This window comes from Homo sapiens, chromosome 9 (genome assembly GCF_000001405.40).
Source record: "Homo sapiens chromosome 9, GRCh38.p14 Primary Assembly".
Lineage (NCBI taxonomy): Eukaryota > Metazoa > Chordata > Mammalia > Primates > Hominidae > Homo > Homo sapiens.
Window position 1 is genome coordinate 30,040,035 of NC_000009.12, and position 20,081 is coordinate 30,060,115.

The 20,081-nt window shown below is 32.2% G+C and overlaps 1 annotated feature.

The window, feature by feature from the left end:
- Positions 235 to 404: an enhancer, noted in NCBI's record as "experimental_107773 CRE fragment used in MPRA reporter constructs". NCBI's record gives its function as "activates a minimal promoter by MPRAs in K562 erythroleukemia cells, with activity observed for the non-introgressed 9:30040352 variant allele {active_cell/tissue: K562}" and the evidence as "EXISTENCE:reporter gene assay evidence [ECO:0000049][PMID:34662402]".

Consider the following 20,081-nt stretch of genomic DNA (forward strand, 5'->3'; position numbering starts at 1 on the left):
AACAGAAAAAAACAATAAAGAAAACAAAAGAACAATATGGGAGATATTGATATTATCCACTATGAAATCAAGGAAGAGAAAATTTTAATACTGGACAAAAGTGTAGCAATAGGTTGATAGCTGCAGATAATTTATACAAGTGAAAAATGCATGCAGACATTAGATTTGGTAATAAGGAGCAATTTGGTGAGTTCTGGTAGAAATTTTATAGTAGAAATGACAGCACAGAATCAATTGCATTTTGTTTCTGTACTTACTAACTGTGAATTCATTTGCGTCCTACATATAGCATTAATTGGTTAGAGAGTTTTAAATTCAATTTAAGATACTTGTTGCTGTGATCATGTGCTTTGTAACTCAGTCTATTTATTGCTTTTTACATTTTCTGAAATTATAATAAAATTGTATTCTTTCATTTATAAAAAGTTTAATAATATTAGCCAAGTTTTCTAAACAGGATTGGAAATAAAACTTTTACTTCATTTTTTCTTTTTTTGGCACAGCTGGTGAGTATCTAATGGAATGTTTCTACTTCATTTTCACTGTCATCTTTCTTCAGTAGTGAAGTACCAAAAAAGGACAGAAAAAAATGATGCAGACGATTTTTATGATGTAACTGTCTACAGTTTAGGTATCTCTGAACCCATCTCCGCTCATCCTTTCTGGAGTTTGGCTATTTAATTCAATACACTATCCTTTTTGCTTGATCTATTTCAGATTGGGTTTCTGGCCTTGAGTTGAGTGCTAACATAGTTCTAGATTTTTATATCAGAAATTTAGGAAATAAGTTCTAGTCTGCAAAATTTCTTTGACGACAAAGGAAGATCACAAAGAAGGAAAACTAGCAGAAATTAAGAGCTTAAAAGAAAAGATGTGACCATGAAGATATGTTTATATATGTCTAAGAGTCAGACATATGACTAGGAAGACATGAAGAGGAAGAGAAAGAGGATTTCCAGTCCTTGTTGAATGCTCTATTTCCTCCCATTTCAAATGAAGGATCTTTTTTTGTTTTGTTGTGTTTTGTTTGGGTCTTTCCTTTTTTTTTTTTTTTTGAAGTAATTGCAGTGCTTATCTTTCAATATGAATATGATAACTGTCATATATTTCTTTACGTGTTTTGATATATACCTAAGAAAAGAGTTTTGTAGAAAGCTTTCTCATAATTCTTTGAAACTTACTTGGTGATTTATAAGTACCATCCATATTGCACTAAAATATATATGAACAATGCATACTTAATTAATTTTGAAATTGTATTATTAATATTTTACAATGGTGATCATGTTTTCTTTTAAAAAAGTCAGTTGTCAACAGACTGTCTTTTACTAGCACTCTAACATATGAATATAAATATAATAATTTGCTATTTAAGTTAGCAAAGTTTTGTTGTTACTGTTTTAAAGGGAATATTGTACACATTTGGAGAAAAATATGCACATGTATGTGCATATTAAATACAGATGAAATGTAATTATATTGTTACAAAATTGACTTAAATTTCCAGAAAGTGATTTGTCAATATTTCCTAAGAATCTGAAAAATTGTAAGGGCTTTTGACACCACAATTTTTCTTATAAAATCTATATAAGAACATAATATAGTAGATCTAGATCAAAGAAAAGATTTATGTGTAAAGATGTGCATTGCAAAATTTTTATGTTAAAAATTTTTAAATAATATATACAATAGGATTGTCTTAAACATGTTATATTCATGAAACAAAAATTATTTGTTTTATGAAACAAATATTTGGCAAACTATCAAAATAATATTTAAAAGTGTTTATAGCATGATAAGTGTATATGCAAAATTGCAACTACAAAAAGATATTTTGAAAATTACACATTATAATATTATATTAAAATATATATTAATAAGAGAATTGAGGGAAATAGACCAAAATGTACTTTCTTGTTTTCCTCCTTAAAAGTAAATTGTTTTCATACATATTAGAATCCTCATATAATTTAACCCATTGACCATAAGGGTTAATGGTCTGCAACGATCTGGTAGATCATTGCAATGGCTCAGAGAGTAATATTGGATAAAACTGGAGATCCACTAGGGAAACAACAAATTTGAAAGAAAAAAATCTATTAGTTAATAAGTTATTTCCCCAGTTGATGATACAGAAATGAAATGAACTTTCTAACCTCCTCTTGGTTGAATAAACTGAACATAATAGAACCTCAAGGCTAGAAAGGGCACTGGAGATGTCATGCATTTCACCCCCTGCTTCCTATAAACTGCCCCCAGAAAAAATGAGAATGTTTCCTATTTTTTTATTATAATTCCCCAGAGAAAGCATTGCTATAACTTCTCACTTTAAGCCTTTTCAATATTTCAAAGTTCTGTTAAGGAAAATTTATTTCTTTAACACCCAAGGCAAAAATATTAACAACTTTCTTCTTGGAGATTTAAATGTTCTAACCATCACCTTGAACTCTTTACACTCTTAATCGTCATACAGTCATTTTTAAAAATTTTCTACTCTAGTTAAAACAGTTGTATATCCTTCAACTTGTTCCAATATATGTTCTTTATCAGTCCATTAATTAACTCTGATCTCTTTTCTGAACAGTCTTCAATTTCTCTGCATGGCAGTTTATTTGTGCAAAACAGAACTGGTCAGAGTTCTCTTTCCTTATTTCCCAAACTCTAGGAATCACCTGAACTTTTTAACATAGTGTGACACTAAAATTTCTGTGAGTTAATTATAACCCTGGCAAATATTTTATTATTTAAAAATTTACTACCAGAGACAAGAACAGTAGCATTCAATGAATACCATGATATTTCTGTAGAAATATTGTCTAATTCTTATTTCTTAGAATAAGGCATACTTTTACTTTTTAGAAATATCAGAACTTTATCTTTAAACTAGATGGCTACAGTAGTCTCCCAACCTCCTAAAAGAACACTTACTTCTATTGCCTATTCTTTCAATAATCAAATTTGTAAAAGGAACATTGTTTAAAATGAAAGTAAAATTTCATCACACCTTTCTCAAAGTCTTACAGTGATGACTGGTCGATTATTAGATTAATTCTGAACTTTTGTTTTGCATAGCTCTTAGAATGAAAACTTTCATCATTTAAAATATATAATTATATATCACTAGATGTTATCAGCAAGTAAATTCTAAACAGCTGTGGGTTTAGAGAAAGACAATCAAATTCTAGCCTTGAATCTGAAACAAGATATGGAGTGGACATTTGAGAAAGTATTGGCAAGAGCAGTGTAGGTGAAGTAAGGAGAAATAACTGGTTTTGTTACTTAGGATAAATGCTATGTGGCCTATTCATATTATGCATCTTAGTTTTTTTTTTCCTTCTTCTCACATTATGAAGTCAGATTGCTCTCCCTCTCTCTGTGTATATATATATATATATATATATATATCTCATATATCTATATATTTCAACTTGCAAACTCAAATATATATATATATACACACACATATCAACTTGCACATTCAGGCATATATTTGAGTGTGCAAGTTGATGGCACATGTATATATCCATAACACCTCCAGCACAATCAAGACAATGAACGTATCCATCACACTCAAAGTTTCCTTGCAGTTTTTTGTAATTTCTCACTCCAACCCTTTCTTACACTGCAGCCCTGCAGGAAACAACTAACAACTAAACTGCTTTCTGATATTAGAAATTACTCTGCATTTTATAGAATTTAATATAACTGGAATTATGCACTATGTACTTTTTTTTAGCTTCTTGCATGTATCATTATTTTCAGAACTATTCACATTGTTATATCTATAAGTAGCTTGATTCTTTTTACTGATAAATAGTATTTAGTTGTGTGCCAATACCTCAATTTGTTGATCCATTTACTTATCAATGGAAATTTTGATGGTTTTCAGTTTTCTGACTACTATTACAAAAAGCTTCTCTGGACATATGTATTACAAGTCTTTGTATGGTCATATACTTTTTCTCTTAGATGTTTATATCTAGTATAAACATCTAAGAGTCAAAAGATTAGGTATGTATGTTTACATTTTTAATAAATTATCAACCTGTTTTCCAAAATATGTATTATTTTACATTCCCAGCAGCAATATGTCAGTTACAGTTGTTCCACATGATCAGAAACACAGAATCGTCTTATATTTAAGTCATTTTAGTGGCTGCTTTATGGTACTTTAGTTTTTTGAATGTACATTTCCTTAATGGCTAACAAGGTTGAGTATTTCTTGTGTTTATTTTCCATTCACACATCTTTTTAAGTAAAATATCTATAAAACCTTTCTGCAATTTATTAATTGAGTTGTTTATCTTCTCATTATTGACCTGGGGGAATATTTTTATTTTTAAGAAACCATATATCAATTATTTAAGCTGGTGACGACATTGAAAAATAAAATCACTTGCACTTTGCTGGTGGAAATGTAAAATTGTATAGCCAATCTCAAAAACAGCTTGGCTGTTTCTTTAAGCGCTAACATACAACATAACCTAACAATGGTACTCTTGATCATATATCTCAGAGAAACAAAGATTTTTGTCACACAAAAAACTACACATGGCAGCTTAAGTTAAATTAAACAGAAACCAAAAATTACCCAGATGATTTTTAAGGAACAAATGCTTAAACCAACTGTGGTATATTTGTACTGTTTAATATTATTCAACAACTTAGAAGAATATACTATTGATACATGCAACAACCGAGATGAATCTCCTGGGAATTATGCTAAATGAAAAAAGCCATTCCCAAAAAGTTATTGTATGATTTCATTTATATCACATTTTTGAAATGCAAAATTTTAGAAACGAAGAGAAGATTAATAGTTGCTTGTGGGTAGGACTGTGAGTTGGGGAGAAGGAGGGATAGGTGGGAGACAGATGGGTATTTACAAAATGGTATTGACCATTGTGTGGTCAATAGATGAACCCACATGTTATAAAATTATATAGAACTAAACAAGCACACACACACAAGCATAAATAAAAGTGAAATTGGGGATATCTGAATACTATTGGTGGATTGTAAAAATGTCAATATCTAAGTTGTAATATTACACTATAGTTTCACAAGATATTGCCATTGGGGGAAAGTGGGTTAAAAATACGAAAAAATACCCATAGTCCCTTTGTATTGTTTCTTACATCTGCCTCTGAATCTATAATTATCTTAATAAAAATTTCAAATAAAAATAAGTATTTTATAGTTAAGTTTCAGCACACAGCTCTAATATAAAATTGCGTTATTACATAGCAAAGTGCTTCCCAGTTTTATATTTAGTATAAACACCTCTAAATGATCAGTAAAAAGTGGGCAAAGCTACAAAAGACTCTAGCATTGCCAATGTAATATTGTTATACACATGTAAAAATGAAATAATTTAAAAGTCTTTTAGTATCCCTTTTTTTCTAGTAGTTTTAGAGTTTCTGGTTTTTTGTTTAAGCCTTTAATCTATTTTGAGTTGATCTTTGTATGTGGTATATAATAAAAGCCCAATATCATTCTTCAGCATGTGAAAATTCAGTTTTCCCAACACAATTTATTAAAGAGACTGTCCTTTTCCCATTGAACATTCTTAGCATCTATGTCTAAAATCAGTTGACAGTATATGTGTGGGTTGATTTCTGGGTTCTCTGTTCTGTTCCATTGGTTGATGGGTCTATTTTTTGCCAATACCATGCTATTTTAATTACTATAGCTTTGTGGTATAGCTAAAAATCAGGCAATGAGATGCCTCCAGCTTTGTTCTTTTTGCTCATCACTGCCTTGGCTAGTTAGGCTTCTTCACAGTTCCATACGAATTTTAAGATATTTTTCCATTTCTATGAAAAATGTCATTAAAATTTTGTTAAAGATTGCATTGAACCTATAGATTGCTTAGGACACTCTGGGCATTTTTAACAATATTATTTATTCCAATTCATGAATGCAGAATATCTTTTCATTTATTTGTGTCTTCATACAGTTTTTTTACCTCCTTGATTATTTCTAAGAACTTTGTTTTTCTGTAGCTATTGTGAATAAAATTGTTCTCTTGACTCCTTTTTCAGACAATTGATTGTTAGTGTATAAAATGCTACCAGTTTTGTATGTTGATTTTGCATCTTGAAATTTTATTCATTTACTACTTCTAACACTTTTTGTGGGAGTCTGAAGTTTTCTATGTATAAGATCATATCATCAGCAAACAGTGAAAATTTCACATCTTTTTCTATTTAGATGTCTTAGGGTTTTTTTTTCTCTTGTCTAATTGCTCTAGCAAGGAATTTCAAGATTATGTTGAATAGAAGCAGCAAGAGCAGACATTCTTGTCCTCTTACAGATCTTAGAAGAAAGGTTACAGAGACTAGTGGGTGGGGGCAATGGAAAGATGATGATCTAAAGATACAAAATCTCAGAAAACAAGGGGTATAATTTTTTTTCTTTTTTTGAGTTCTATTGCATAGTATGATATTTATAATTAATAATAGAGTATTATACATTTCAAAATTGCTACTAGAGTTAATTTTCAAAAGTTCTTATGACAAAAATTTAAGTATTTGAGGTGATGGATATGTTAAATAGCTTGATATGATTATTCCGCATCGTCTTCATAAATTATAACATCATTTTGTATCCCATAAATGTATACACTTATGAATTGTCAATTTGCAATTTAAATTAAAAAGACTTCTTGGTCCTGGGAAATGACATACTTGACAAGCATTAGCACTTTTTGCTCAAATATATTAATTCTGATATGACTAGTATCCTCTTTTTACTGGGAGACCAATGGCAGCGATTAATTTTCTATGATTTTTTTATCATTAAAATGAAAGCTTTTGAACTTACAAAGATTTGCATTATTGTGCATCTTAGTTGTATTAGGGGTCTCCAGAAAAAAAGTACGTGTAGGAGATTACCTATAATATAAATGTATATAAAATATATATGATTGCATATATATATAATTTATCATCTTATATTCATATACATATATAATCAATTTATATATGGGGAATTGGCTCATATAATTATGGAGGCTGAGAAGCTCCACCATGGGAGTCAATGGTGTAAATTCTAGTCTGAGGCCTAGAGAAAGAAGTTATATCTCAGCTTAAGCAGGCAGGCAGAAGAAAAAGGGATGAATTTCCCCTTCCCCTATCTTCTGTTCTGTTCAAGTCTTCAATGGATTAGATGAGGGCAATCTCCTTTACTGAGTTCACCAAATCAAATGCTAATCTTATCCAGAAACATCTCACAGACACACCCAGAAATAATATTTAATCTGCATATCCCATGTCCACTAGAGTTGACATGTAAAATTAATCATAACACTAGGTGTGATTATGTAACAGTGAAAATTGTTATATATCCAGACTGCGTAAGCTTGGGTGTGAATAAACTTGTTACTTAACTGGAGCTTTATACAGAAAAAGTTGTAATGTTTTTTGAGGATTTATTATAAAATATCTACCTTTTGATATGTTAATCAAGTAAGCATCTGGCCAATTAACCCAAAGGAAAAGAATACACATTGTCACTCAATATACTTACTGATCCTATTGGAAAATGAGGGTGATGATTAAAATTTGAATGTTAAGATAAAAACACCCATTCAAATGAACTGGTAGCGGACCAGTTATTTACAAACACTGTAAACCCGTAGTACTTTGCTAAAGATAATGATATTAAAATGTGCTTTGAAAGTTAGTAATGAACAGAATTGAATGTGTAAAGCAAATAAGATCTAAAACATTTATAAAGAATGGTGGTTCCATTACCCATCCACACCAAATTAATCTTACTCTTTACAATTTACAGAGCTTTATAAATCATTCAAATTTATCTAGTTATTGAGTTTGGTCACACAGTCGCACTCCTAGGTATGTGTCTGCAGGTTGTGTCTCTGTTTTATGAGAGTAATTGCAAGTGTCATTAAATGACTTGCTCAGGGCCACTCTGGTCAGTTAGATTTGAATTTCTGATCTGCTTTTATATTCAGTTTATTGGGGCCATGGTTGTCTTTGCTTAAAGTAAATAAAATGTTATCTCAAGAGAAAAAAAAAATACATAAAATACATTTATCATTCCAGATGAATCAATCCAATAATGAGTACATAAGTCCATTTTTCTTTACTCTTTATATATTTTTATTTAAACTAATTCTATTTATATCAAACACGTAATCATGCTAATAATTTTATCATTGTATACGGAATATGAGATATCAATCATAATGGCTATTGGAGAAGAATGTTAGATTTATTACTTAAAAAATGTATGCGTTTCTGAAAAAATCTAACATCCAACTTTCCAATTTAAGCTTCCTTTAGAAGATGATGAACTGTTTTCCTTTTATTTCAACCTGGTTAAAACAGAAAATTTCTGTGGGTTCATTGTTAATTACCACACCTAAGACACAACTTATAACCATTAGCCTATCCTCCCGTTACAGGACTCCTTCAGTGTTGCTTCACCAGCCAGAAATCTCTACGGCCATCGTCATCTCTGCCCAAGCCTTGCTTAGGGCCTGCTGGGCTCACCCTGCCCACTTGGCCCAGCAGGCTGCACTTGGCTCATGCCTCGGCCCGAATACTGCACCTGCCATGGCTCCATGCTTAGCCCACAGCTGGACCAAGCATACTGCTAGTGACTTCTGCCTTGGGCACCAGCATCTAGACAAACAGAACGCAGTGGCATCCGAAAACTTGGAGATGACAGCAATTGCGAAACCCCAAGGGGTGTTACAGCTCTTACCTGAGGAGTCCCAAGGTCTGAGATGTTAGATGTTGCAGTTCTTCACTCCTGCAGCTCAGCAAGCAGGAGCATGTTACAGCTCTCTTTCTTCCATAGTCTGGCAAGTGGCAGTGTGTTACAGCCCATTTATTCCCACTGCCCGCAGCTCAGTGGGTTCTGGGTTCTTGTCCTGCAACCAAGAGGAATAAGGTGTGTGGACACCAGAGAGTGAATAAGGCAGAGAAGAATTTTATTGAGCAACAGAAGGAAAGCTCTCAGCTGCAAAAGAGAGGACCTGAGAGTGGGTAGCCGTCTGTGAGGCTGAGTCCAGGTTTTTATGGGCTTAGAATTGGGGAGTGCATGCTGATTGGTCCATGGGTTGGCTTTGGAAAAAGCACCATTCAATTGGTTTAAAGGCATCATTCAGAAGGAACCAATTGAGAGAGAGAGAGGGTGAGATGGGTATAGAAGTTTTCACTCTGGTTATAGACTCTATATGGAACCAACAGCTTGGTTTTCAGGCTTTAAACGGTCTTTGGCAAGACAGGGACTTGTCTCTGCCTAGGAATTTGTCTGTCTCCTGTCACTATTACTCTCTATGTCCACTGCTTCTTCTCTTTAAAGAATTTATCACTTCATGCTTTGCAACTAAATTATTGTAGAGGCCTGTCTCTTATTCCTTCAATCGGTTCTGAACATCCCTTCTAGATTAATATTTTGTAACACCTCTTTAATTTTATCACTTCCACATTCAAGTCTCTTGCTCACAGAATGAAGACTTTCAGTGTTTTGTTGGTTGTGACATTCTTAACTGCTCTTATTCTTCATTTTGTAGGCCAATCTTTAGCAAAACTGTCAATCACATTCTTGGGCTTTTGACCTGTACACATTTGTACTTCAACAGATTTGCCCTTGTCAGTCCCTATTTTGCCTTTATGTTCACCTTCTCGTCTCAAGCTCCACCTTGAAGTTCTGTACATTTTTTAAAGCCTGGCTCAAAATTATAGACCACATTCTAGATAAAATATCTTATGATAATGCTAGGTAGAAGTGACTTCTTTCATTTCTATAATCCCTGATCCCTTACAATTCGTCCATTACGCCATGGGGGACATAAGTATATGTCTCTTTTCTTATAGTGGTGGTTTTCTTTTCTCCTTGTGTCATACATTCCTTCATCCTAGAGACTACATTTTAAACTCCCTGAGGATTCCTTACAGATAGAAACGGGATTTCACTCCTACAATGATGTCTTGAAAATAGTAACTACATATTTGTTTAATAAATATATCTAAAATTATCTAAATAAATATATCCAAAATATATCAATGATGGATAGATCAATAAATGTATCCATTAAATACTACTGCTTTATACCAATTCAGTTCACATTTATAGAAGCTTTATTTTGACCCAAGCATGTAAAATACAGAAGTGATTTTCACAGGCCACATACACTTAAGGAGTTTAGTCTGACAAAAGAGATTCAATATTAAATTAGAATAACAATAAAATGAGACACCTGATTTATATTGGTAAATTGTGCATGCATAGAGGAAAGAGTTATTGTCTCAGTCTTGGGTTCATAGGTGTTGCAATTTGATTTGAGTCAAAAGTTGAATATAATATGGAAAATGTGGCATACAAAACATTTCACAAAGAAGGTGGGCAAAGATACAGGAGAATATGTGGTTACCAGTAAAGTGCAATGTTCATGTGCAGAAAGAGCTGGAAACAAGACATGTGGAGACTAAGTGGTGGCCTCCAAATCTGAGCCAAAGTCCAGGAGTTGAAAGGTAAAGGCTTGGCTCTCCTGGTTCCTCTTCCTCACCCTAACTGTGCACAAGTCAGTCCTTATGGCAAATATTACATGTTGTTATTATTATTATTATTTTACTTCTATTTTTTCCTCTCCTCATAAGCCATTACAAATCTCAGTGAGTGGAAGAAACATGAGCATAGTACTTTATTATCAAAACTTCAACCAATAACTTTGCCAAGGGTTCAAACAGAACCCTACCATTAATACATAAATTTGTTATTTATAGAAAAATAAAGAAAGCTAGGAAAATTAGAGTCCTAGAACATGGAGATTTCAAGAAGAATTAAGAGTATTTACCACAGAATTGAATATGGCTTTACTAAGAACACAGCTATTTGGGGAGAAGCAAGGATGGTAGGTCAAGGATCATGTTTTATGCAGTAGGACTCTCATCACTCTTACAGTCTTATACAATATTCTCCACATTAAAAACTGTATGTAGAAAAGGAGAGACATCAGAACAATTATTAGATGTTTTATAAAAATGAACCACAGGAAGTGGTATGGTGAAGACGGAAGCCAACAGGATTAAAAAAACATGATTTTAAATTTTAGTCCTACCAATTATCAAATGTAGAACCTAGGGAAATAACTGAATATTATTAATGCTTACTTTTATTATCTGAAATCACAGGAAAAACATTACATCCATTTCATAGGGTTGTTTGAAGACAAAACGAGATAATAAAAGGACAGAGCAGATTTTGGGACATACTAAATGCTCAGTATATGTTGATTATGCTGATTGCAGATATTATGTGAAAGGACTGTTTCTGAATATGTGTTCTCTTAGTTATATCTCAGAATATTCTCCTTGAAATGTTAATTAAAAGCATACTATTTCCTCCTAACTTCTTCTGATATAGTCTCATTATTTTTATATAATATCACTTATATCTTTAAAAAATTCCTCCATTTATGTATTATTACTAAGAAAATCAAATTTATCATCAAAGTGGATTAGTTATTTCCAAAGCTATTATAAATATTTACTCTTAAACTTCTAACAAAACCTATAGTCACATTTATAATGAATATAAGAAAAAATAAAATCTGCTCATACTATATATTAATTCCACTTCTTTATTTTATTTATTTATATTTATATTTTTATTTATTTATTTATTTATTTATTTATTTTTGAGACAAGTTCTTGCTCTGTCACCCAGGCTGGGGTGTAGAGGCGGGATCATAGTTCACTGCAGCCTTGACCTCCTGGGCTCAACTGATCCTCCCACCTCAGCCTCTGGAGTAGCTGGGACTACAGATACACACCACCACACCCAGCTAATTTTTATATATTTAGTAGAGATGGGATATTGCAATGTTGAACAGGCTGATCTGGAGCTCCTGGCATCAAGCCATCCCCCTGCCTTGGCCTCCCAAAGTGTTGGGATTACAGGCGTGAGCCACCACACCTGGCTGCATTTCTTCCTTTGATGGTTGAATTCTATCCATCAAATGCTTAATCTACCTAAGGCTTGAAAGATGCAATTTATGATTAATTGAAAGTATTATTACAGGGCCGGGAGCGGTGGCTCACGCCTGTACTACTAGCACTTTGGGATACCAAAGCGGGTGTATCACCTGAGGTCAGGATTTCAAGACCAGCCTGGCCAACATGGTGAAACCCCATCTCTACTAAAAATACAAAAATTAGCCAGGTGTGGTGGGGGGTGCCTATAATCCCAAGCTACTCGGGAGACTGAGGCAGGAGAATCGCTTGAACCCCTGGGGCGGGCAGACATTGCATGAACTGTGATCATGCCTCTACACTCCAGCCTGGGTGACAGAGGAAAACTCCATCTCAAAAAAAAAAAAGTATTATTATAGTATTTATATATTAGAAAATACAAAGATTAAATGAACCCACAAATGAGATTTTTTGTTGTCGCAGTTGAATAAAAAGAATACTATCCCCTGCAATCTTTATTTTCTTTGACATCATCACCAGAGCCACCTTTGTTTCATTTGTTTATGGATTTTCAGTCTGTGAAATGCTAAAAAGAAGAACACAAAATGGTTATCATGGTCAACATACACATGTGAATAATTAGATGTGACTGATTATAATAGCTCTGAGGAAATGCTTTAAAGTCTCTGCCTCTTATATTAACTGTTTCCTCATATTTCATGCTTTTGAACTGATAAAAGACTTGCTCAAACTTTTCATTTTGGATGTGTGAATTCTGTACTAATTCTATTTGTGTGTGTCTGGCTGTTCTAAATGGCTTTCTGGGAACTTTGGACCTAACAATGCTTTAATTGCATTTTCTTAGTTTTTGCCAGGATATTTTTGTTTTTGTTTTTATTTGTATCAGTTGAGAAAAGAGAGGTTTAGGTAAAGGCAACTGAAATAACTGAAGAATTTTGACTACATAGCCTATTTTGCTTACTCAAATGCATCCTCTATGATAAATATACTGGGCTATTTGTCTAGAGAGCTGCGTGATTTCAGCAGAGTTTAGTAAAAATTCTTTATGTTTATCTGTTAGTGAACATTCATTGAGAAAATGAATTTCCAGCAGTTAAATACAGCGTGATGCAGCCAATCAACCTATAACAGCCCAAACCCGGATGAAGGAAAACATTACATGGCAAGTGGCACCACAACTGATGAATAAAGATGACAAATAAAAAGGCTAATGAGAATTGAATAGTGCATATCCTGAAACCTCTAAAACCACATTCATTATGCTAAGAAATTAACTAAATGCATTTTTTATTTTGTAATAGAAACTTCCACTTGGCTAATTGAAGCTTCCACTGCATCTCCCACAGAGCCCAAGAAGTATCAGTATGTGACTACTGAATGATGGACAATGAAATATATTAATACCATAAAAAAGAAAAAAGGGCAATTAGGTATCTGTTGAAGATTCTGAAATTTAAGTAGGAATATAGGCCAAAGGAAACAGTTATGTAATACCAGAGTTTTCAGACATATTTACTATAGAATACTTGGTAAAGTGTTATAAAGGAGAGGAGTGAAAGTAGAAAAAGAAAAAAATAGTTTTAAAATCTTTATACTCAAATAAAATAAACATATATGGAATAAACTTGAAATTATTAATAAAAACTCTTTATAAATAGCATTTTATAATTCATTTATGTGTCCCAACAAGTGTTACTCATTACTACAATCTTGCACTCATCTGCTATTCCTTGATGCTAACCTCTTTCTACACTGAAAGAAATAGAGTTCCAAGAGTTGTCTGCATCTTGGAACAGTGAAAATAAAGATAGAACAAGAGAACTGAGTCATTGCTAGACAGTAAGAATACTTTCAGGGATGCAAAGCAGGCAATTTAAAAGAGCTTCTCTGAACAAGGTGTGATCATCTAAGAATTAAATGTGAAAACAATAATTATTTGAAAACCCAAGAATCTATAATGATATTCAAAAATGTGTTAAAGAATGGTCATATACAAATGAATTTCAGGTATTTATAAAAATTGTTGAATATGGACATGCCCAGCTATATGCTTAACTCATTTTAATCAACATTTAAGTCTCATTATACTTATTTGACAGTAAAGTTATTACTTCTATGTCTAGTTGGGTTAATAAAAATCTAAACAGGTGAAATCAAACAACAAAAATATTAGGGAAAGTGCAGAGATTTATATTGAATGTTTTAAACCCATGGAAATACATTTCAACTATTGGTTCCACATTGGAAAAATGGCATCTTTAAGGTCCAAAGTTTTACTTGATTAAATTCTTATGCTATTGTTATTTTACCTGTATAATTTATAAACTAACTGGGCAAATATTGGTTTGAGTAAATGGATTTTATTCAACATTCTCTTACTCTCCAAACGCATCCAATCTTTGTTTCTATCTCATTTTCACACACACACACACATACACACTAGAAATGATAAGGGCAAAACATATTGTATGTTCAATGATTGTGGGATTACTCAAGTTAAAAGGAAAGGCATCACTGGAAAGTTCCTTTCAGTAAGTAATGGTCAATAAAGTCAAGTCTGGGTGGAGTCTTCTGGAAGCTTCACTCAGATCCAAGAGATAGAATCTTGGGCCATTAACTCTGTTACAGAATCAAAGTTGCCATAGCAGGTATGAGATGGTCATTAGGTTTCACTCCCTTAAAATAATGCATTTGTAACTATGGAAGGAAAAAATATATATATTATTAAAAGTTTCATGTTGCTTATATTAGTAACACAAGTATAATAATGGATTTTGGGGTCATTGCATCGTGTGTGTGTGTGTGTGTGTGTGTGTGTGTATATACACTTTGTTTAAAGTTGGTTTATATATATAATTTTATATATATATACTTTGTTTAAAGTTAATTTGAATGCTTAAATAAGACTGATACTACATTTATAAATGTTTTATTATACTTACAAGCATGGCTTAAATTCGTAGTACTATTTTCCTCATAAAATCTACATATTTTCCTCGCTAAATGTTTGAAGTGATTAATATAATCAGGTAAATAAATTTTTGATTGTAGATTGAAGTGTAAATCAATTTAATTATGTAAGTAGAAATAGATGTTTAAACAGATTTTAATTTCTCAAATATATAACCTAAACATAAATTGAAACCAGTAAAATGACTAATCTTATTTTACCAGTTAATTATGAAATTAGAATAAGTTTAACTTCTCAAGAATAACTAAATTTTAAAATTAAGTGTAATAATTGAAATATCTATTTTAAAAAGTAACCCGACCTATTTCTTCCATGTAAAAATCATCCCCTCCTATATTACAAAAAGACCAAGTAGACTTAAGTTTAAATATCTTACCATATGCTATGATATATATTTTTGCATTATAAGCATATAAATTTCATTTTTTAATGTGCACAGCAACAATGATATTCAACCATTATTTGAAAACCCCCAGATTTCTAACTGTAAACTTTTCTCAACCAAAATCTTCACATTTATATTCTGTGACTGAGAAGACACTCAGCCATAAGGTAAAGCGTACTAAACGTCCCTTTGAATCAAGCTAAATGTGAAATGAACAAGTAACAAAAGATGAATTGTTTTTAAAATAACCCCAAAAAACTACTGTAGGATCTGTTGTTTAATAAGATGAAACAAAAACTAAATATTTCATAGCTATTTCAGAAAAAAATAAACAAAAAGCATATTATTTCATTTTTATACACTTTAGATATCTTACACTTCATGACTGTTATTTCCAGTTATTTCAAGACTTAGTCTAAACACTACTACTTTATTCCAAGAAGAATATTATATCTTTTTTCCTTCTCTCTACCCTTTCCCTTTATTCCTTTCCCTTCTCGCTTTCCCTCTTTGTCTTTTTTCTTCCTTCACTTCTATGGTTTTTTCTTCTTTCCATCATCCATTTCTCCATTTCTCATCTTCTCTTTCCTCCCCACAGGTATCCCTCCTTCTTTCTCTCACATTCCTACTTTCCCTCCCCACCTTTTCTCATTTCCTTCCCCAAATACATGTTTTTGTTGATGTGCAAGACATTGCATTTTAAAAATCAATTTGGTTTTGCAGCTTTATTGAAGTATAATTGACAAAAGAAAATTGTATATATTGAAGCTGTACAACCTGATATTCTGATATATGTGTATGCACTTTATAAAATGATTGCCATAATAAAGTTAATTAACATATAAAGCTATAGTAAATCAAACAAAATGACATTCTTATTAAATACCTCTCAATGTTCAAATATTCAATATTTTGGGACTAAGATTTATTTTGAAAATATTATTCATAAATGGATGTATTTCTCTAATAACTGCTTACATGCTGGGAAAATAGCATCTTTTAAAGTTGAGTGCTGTATCTGATGGAATCCTTTTCCTTTTTCCCTTGCATAATGTAGAAAATAAATAGCTAAATATTGGTTGAGTCAATTATTTTATTCAACTCCCTGAACACATACTCCAGAGATAGAAGAAAAAATAATTTTTACTAACATTAAATTAATGCAAAAATTTATTAAGTGTAGTTGCCAATTACTATAAGGCCTTCACAGAGAGAAACAAGGTAAGGTGAATACATCACCTTAGATTTTAAACTGTTTAGGAATTTTCTACACATTAACCAATTTATTTCAAAAGGCAAATCTAATAAAACTCTGATTGCAGCAGTGACTTCTCGCCATACCATTGGAAAGGAAGGACATATCGTAATAGTGACTTAGCTCACCAGTTTGGAATGACCATATATGCTGTTTATCCTCATGCCTCTTAACTAATAAGTAAGACCAGAAATTCATTTCAGAATGGAAAATAAGTAAGTAAAATATATAATTACATCATTTAATATACTTTGGATATTGTCCCTGTACCGGCCCAGAGTAGAGAAAATTGTTAGACTATGGATATTTTTAAAACAATAAGCCAGAGTCTGTATACTGACCCAGTTGACTCTTCTCTCCCTTTCCTCTCAACCTCTTTGATCTATTTATGGCTTAAAAGAGAACATACACTAACTATTCCACAGAAGTTTTAAAAAATAGAATAAAAATGGGATCTACCAAGGTATTATCTCTCAACTCGAAGCCCACACTCTGTTTTGTGCGAATAAAGGGAGACAGATCTGCAAAACACATTTCTTCCTTGCCAGCTGGTGCTTTGTTAGACTCTACCAACAGGAGACAGAGTATAGGAATGGTGAAGCCAGCAAGAGGGAAAGGGAACATACTTTTCTTGTTTCCTTGCTCTTCCTGTTTTTGCTCCCAGTTCTTTATGCCTCCTATCAATATCACCAAGGCAATGTTTCCTCATTTGACAGTAAGAATTTGTCTGGAAGTATCAGTGGATTTTAGCCTGTAGTTTCTCCAATACTCACTGAAACAGACACAGCACACACCTTTAGCAAGACCTTATTCTCAGAGGTGTGATTTCCAGGCCTGTAGAGTCTCTTTTCCAATCTCAGAGACATCAACACAAAGGGAGCAGCATCCCCTACTTATAGGACCAAGTTCCAACTTTCTGAAGTTGCCTCCTAAAAACATCCTAGTTTCAATATTTCTCATGTCTTCTCCTTGTTCCCACAGTTCTAAAGGAAATAGTTGTTTTTTGCAGTTGCTATGCTGTAATATGTTAATGCTGCTTTTTACTCTTCTCAGATCTTCAAAACCTAGTGAAACATTTCTTTATAATACATTCTCTCTCTTATAATAACTGGTATGTTTATGTCTCTTGACTGGATCTGGGCTCATAAGCCACCTAATTAAAAATAGTATTTCCTCTGATTCTTATATTTCCTATTTCCACTCTATTTTATTTCTCTTCATATTAATGATCTTTAGTTGAAGTACTGTGTTTTTCCACTTATTAATATTTTTCTTGCATCTCCTACTAAGTTTCAGGGAGGCAAAGATTTCTGTATGCTATGTTCACTGCTATTCTTGCAATCACTAGAACATTGACAAACAATAAGTAAACAGTAAACATGTATTGTGTAAATAAATAAATGGATATATGGTAAAAAAAAAAACTCAGTGAAGAAAACTATGAATCAAAAAAGGGATAATAATTATCTGAAATCTTCCACCTCGAAGTACAAATTATCATAATTAATATTGAGAAAACACCTTTCTTAGCCATCCTAGTATATAAAAACTTGATGAAACATCAATGTAGATAGAAAGCACTTATGAACAGAAAAAAATAAAAAATAGAAAATAAAAAAATTTTAAAAAGATTATTTTGATAAAATATTAAATCCATTTTAAGTGAAGGTATAAGAATGAAAAAGGCCAGAATTACTGAACGAGAGTTAAGCGTGTACCATATGAAATATTAGTTATTAAAAAAGCTTGAAAATTGGCAAGCAGATTGCTTAAATAATTTTCCCTACTGACCTTTTTACGTGTATAGTGTTATAAGTTTTTAAAAATGTCCTCATAATAAGCATATGGACTCCAGTTCCTCACAGTTCCACCTACTCCCAATTGCCTTAAATCCAATTATTTCATTCCCTTTACTATGTGTCTGGCATCTGGTAACATTTGAGTTTATGGCCAAATGAGTTTATGTTTAAAGATATCTGTAAATTTAATGAATATGCTTTCATGGATACTTGAAGTAGTTGAGGCTTTATCATTTGATAGATGTCTCAGGAACAGGATTGAAGATGTACAGTCCTTTAAAAATTAAAAGCTGTCTCTGTAATACTACCAATATGACAAAATACAGCTGGTTTGCTACATGACACAGAAGAGTGATTCATTTCCTCAAATTTCCTTAGCAGAGATGTGCCTTTATTCGGGTTGCAATATAAAAGTAAATTTTATTTATGGAAACTTTATTTTAAATTACTTCTCATGATCTCAATGTCCCTTCATAATTTATAAATATCTATCCTGGGAGTAGATCTCTGTATGCTAGTCCTTGTACTAAGAATAGGCAACACAACCTAGAATTGAATGTCTTGGTCCTCAAGGAACTTACTGAAATTTCTCTTTAGAGATCTTATATGTTTATAAAGTAATCTAAGAAAACTGCCATAAATTAGACATCATAGTGTGTAAGTCTCCCTTGAAAAGGTCTATTATAAATCTCCCCTTCAATATAGAGTAGATGGAATAAATAATCAAGGTAATCTTTTTCACCAAAAAACTGCAGCCAGCATACTTGTTTGTCCTATTATATATCTATATCTGTATCTATAATCTCCATGAATCATTCAAATATCTATCTTTTGAGAGAGACACACAGAGATATGAGATAATAATATTGATACATTTAATTTGGGATATTATTTATCAATGAAAATAATGTACTAATTGGACATTAGGATAGATCTTCAATTTATATTCCAAGAAAACCGAAAAGAGAAAAGGGAGAAGCAGCTCAGCAATCACTCTTAGCCCATCTCTCAGTTACTAGTCTTTGCTTGGGGAGGGTTGTTGGTGTTAGATCCTAAGTAGCCTCCTTCTTAATACTTTCCATGAATGAAAAAGTATTTTCTTTTCTAGCTCAGAGATTTCAAAATAGGGCACCATATAGTGCTGGTGATATCAACCATTATAGTAAAGATAGGAGATCAGGAAAAAAGCATAACCTGATTTGAACTGGGTCTTTTGCTTTTTATTTGTTTTTAAATTTTAAAACAATTTTTAATCCAGGTGTAGAAACCCCATGTTTATTATCCCTAAACTGGAACAGCTTCAGATAGCAACTTTTTTTTTTTAATTTAAAAGCAGTTTCAAAACTTGAAAGTATATGGAACCAATTTAACTACTATTTGATAATATCTGGAACAGAAAAAAGATCCAGTATTCATAAACTACTCAATGCTGAGTACTGAGCTATGTTGCTTGAATAAATTTTGTTTCATTTACTGATTATAACAACTCTGTGAGGAGAGTTATTTCTATTCAAAATGTATAGCTGAAGAAAGTGAGATTTGAATATTTTAACTAATTTCCCAAGGTATATATTATACAGTAGAGGTGGGACTAAACTAAGGAGAGGCTAGAAGCCTCGTCCATGATTTTTTCTTTCTCTTTGCCCAGCTGTAAAATTAGGGAAAAAAACCTCTTAAGTTTCTTCCAGCTCTGAAATACTGA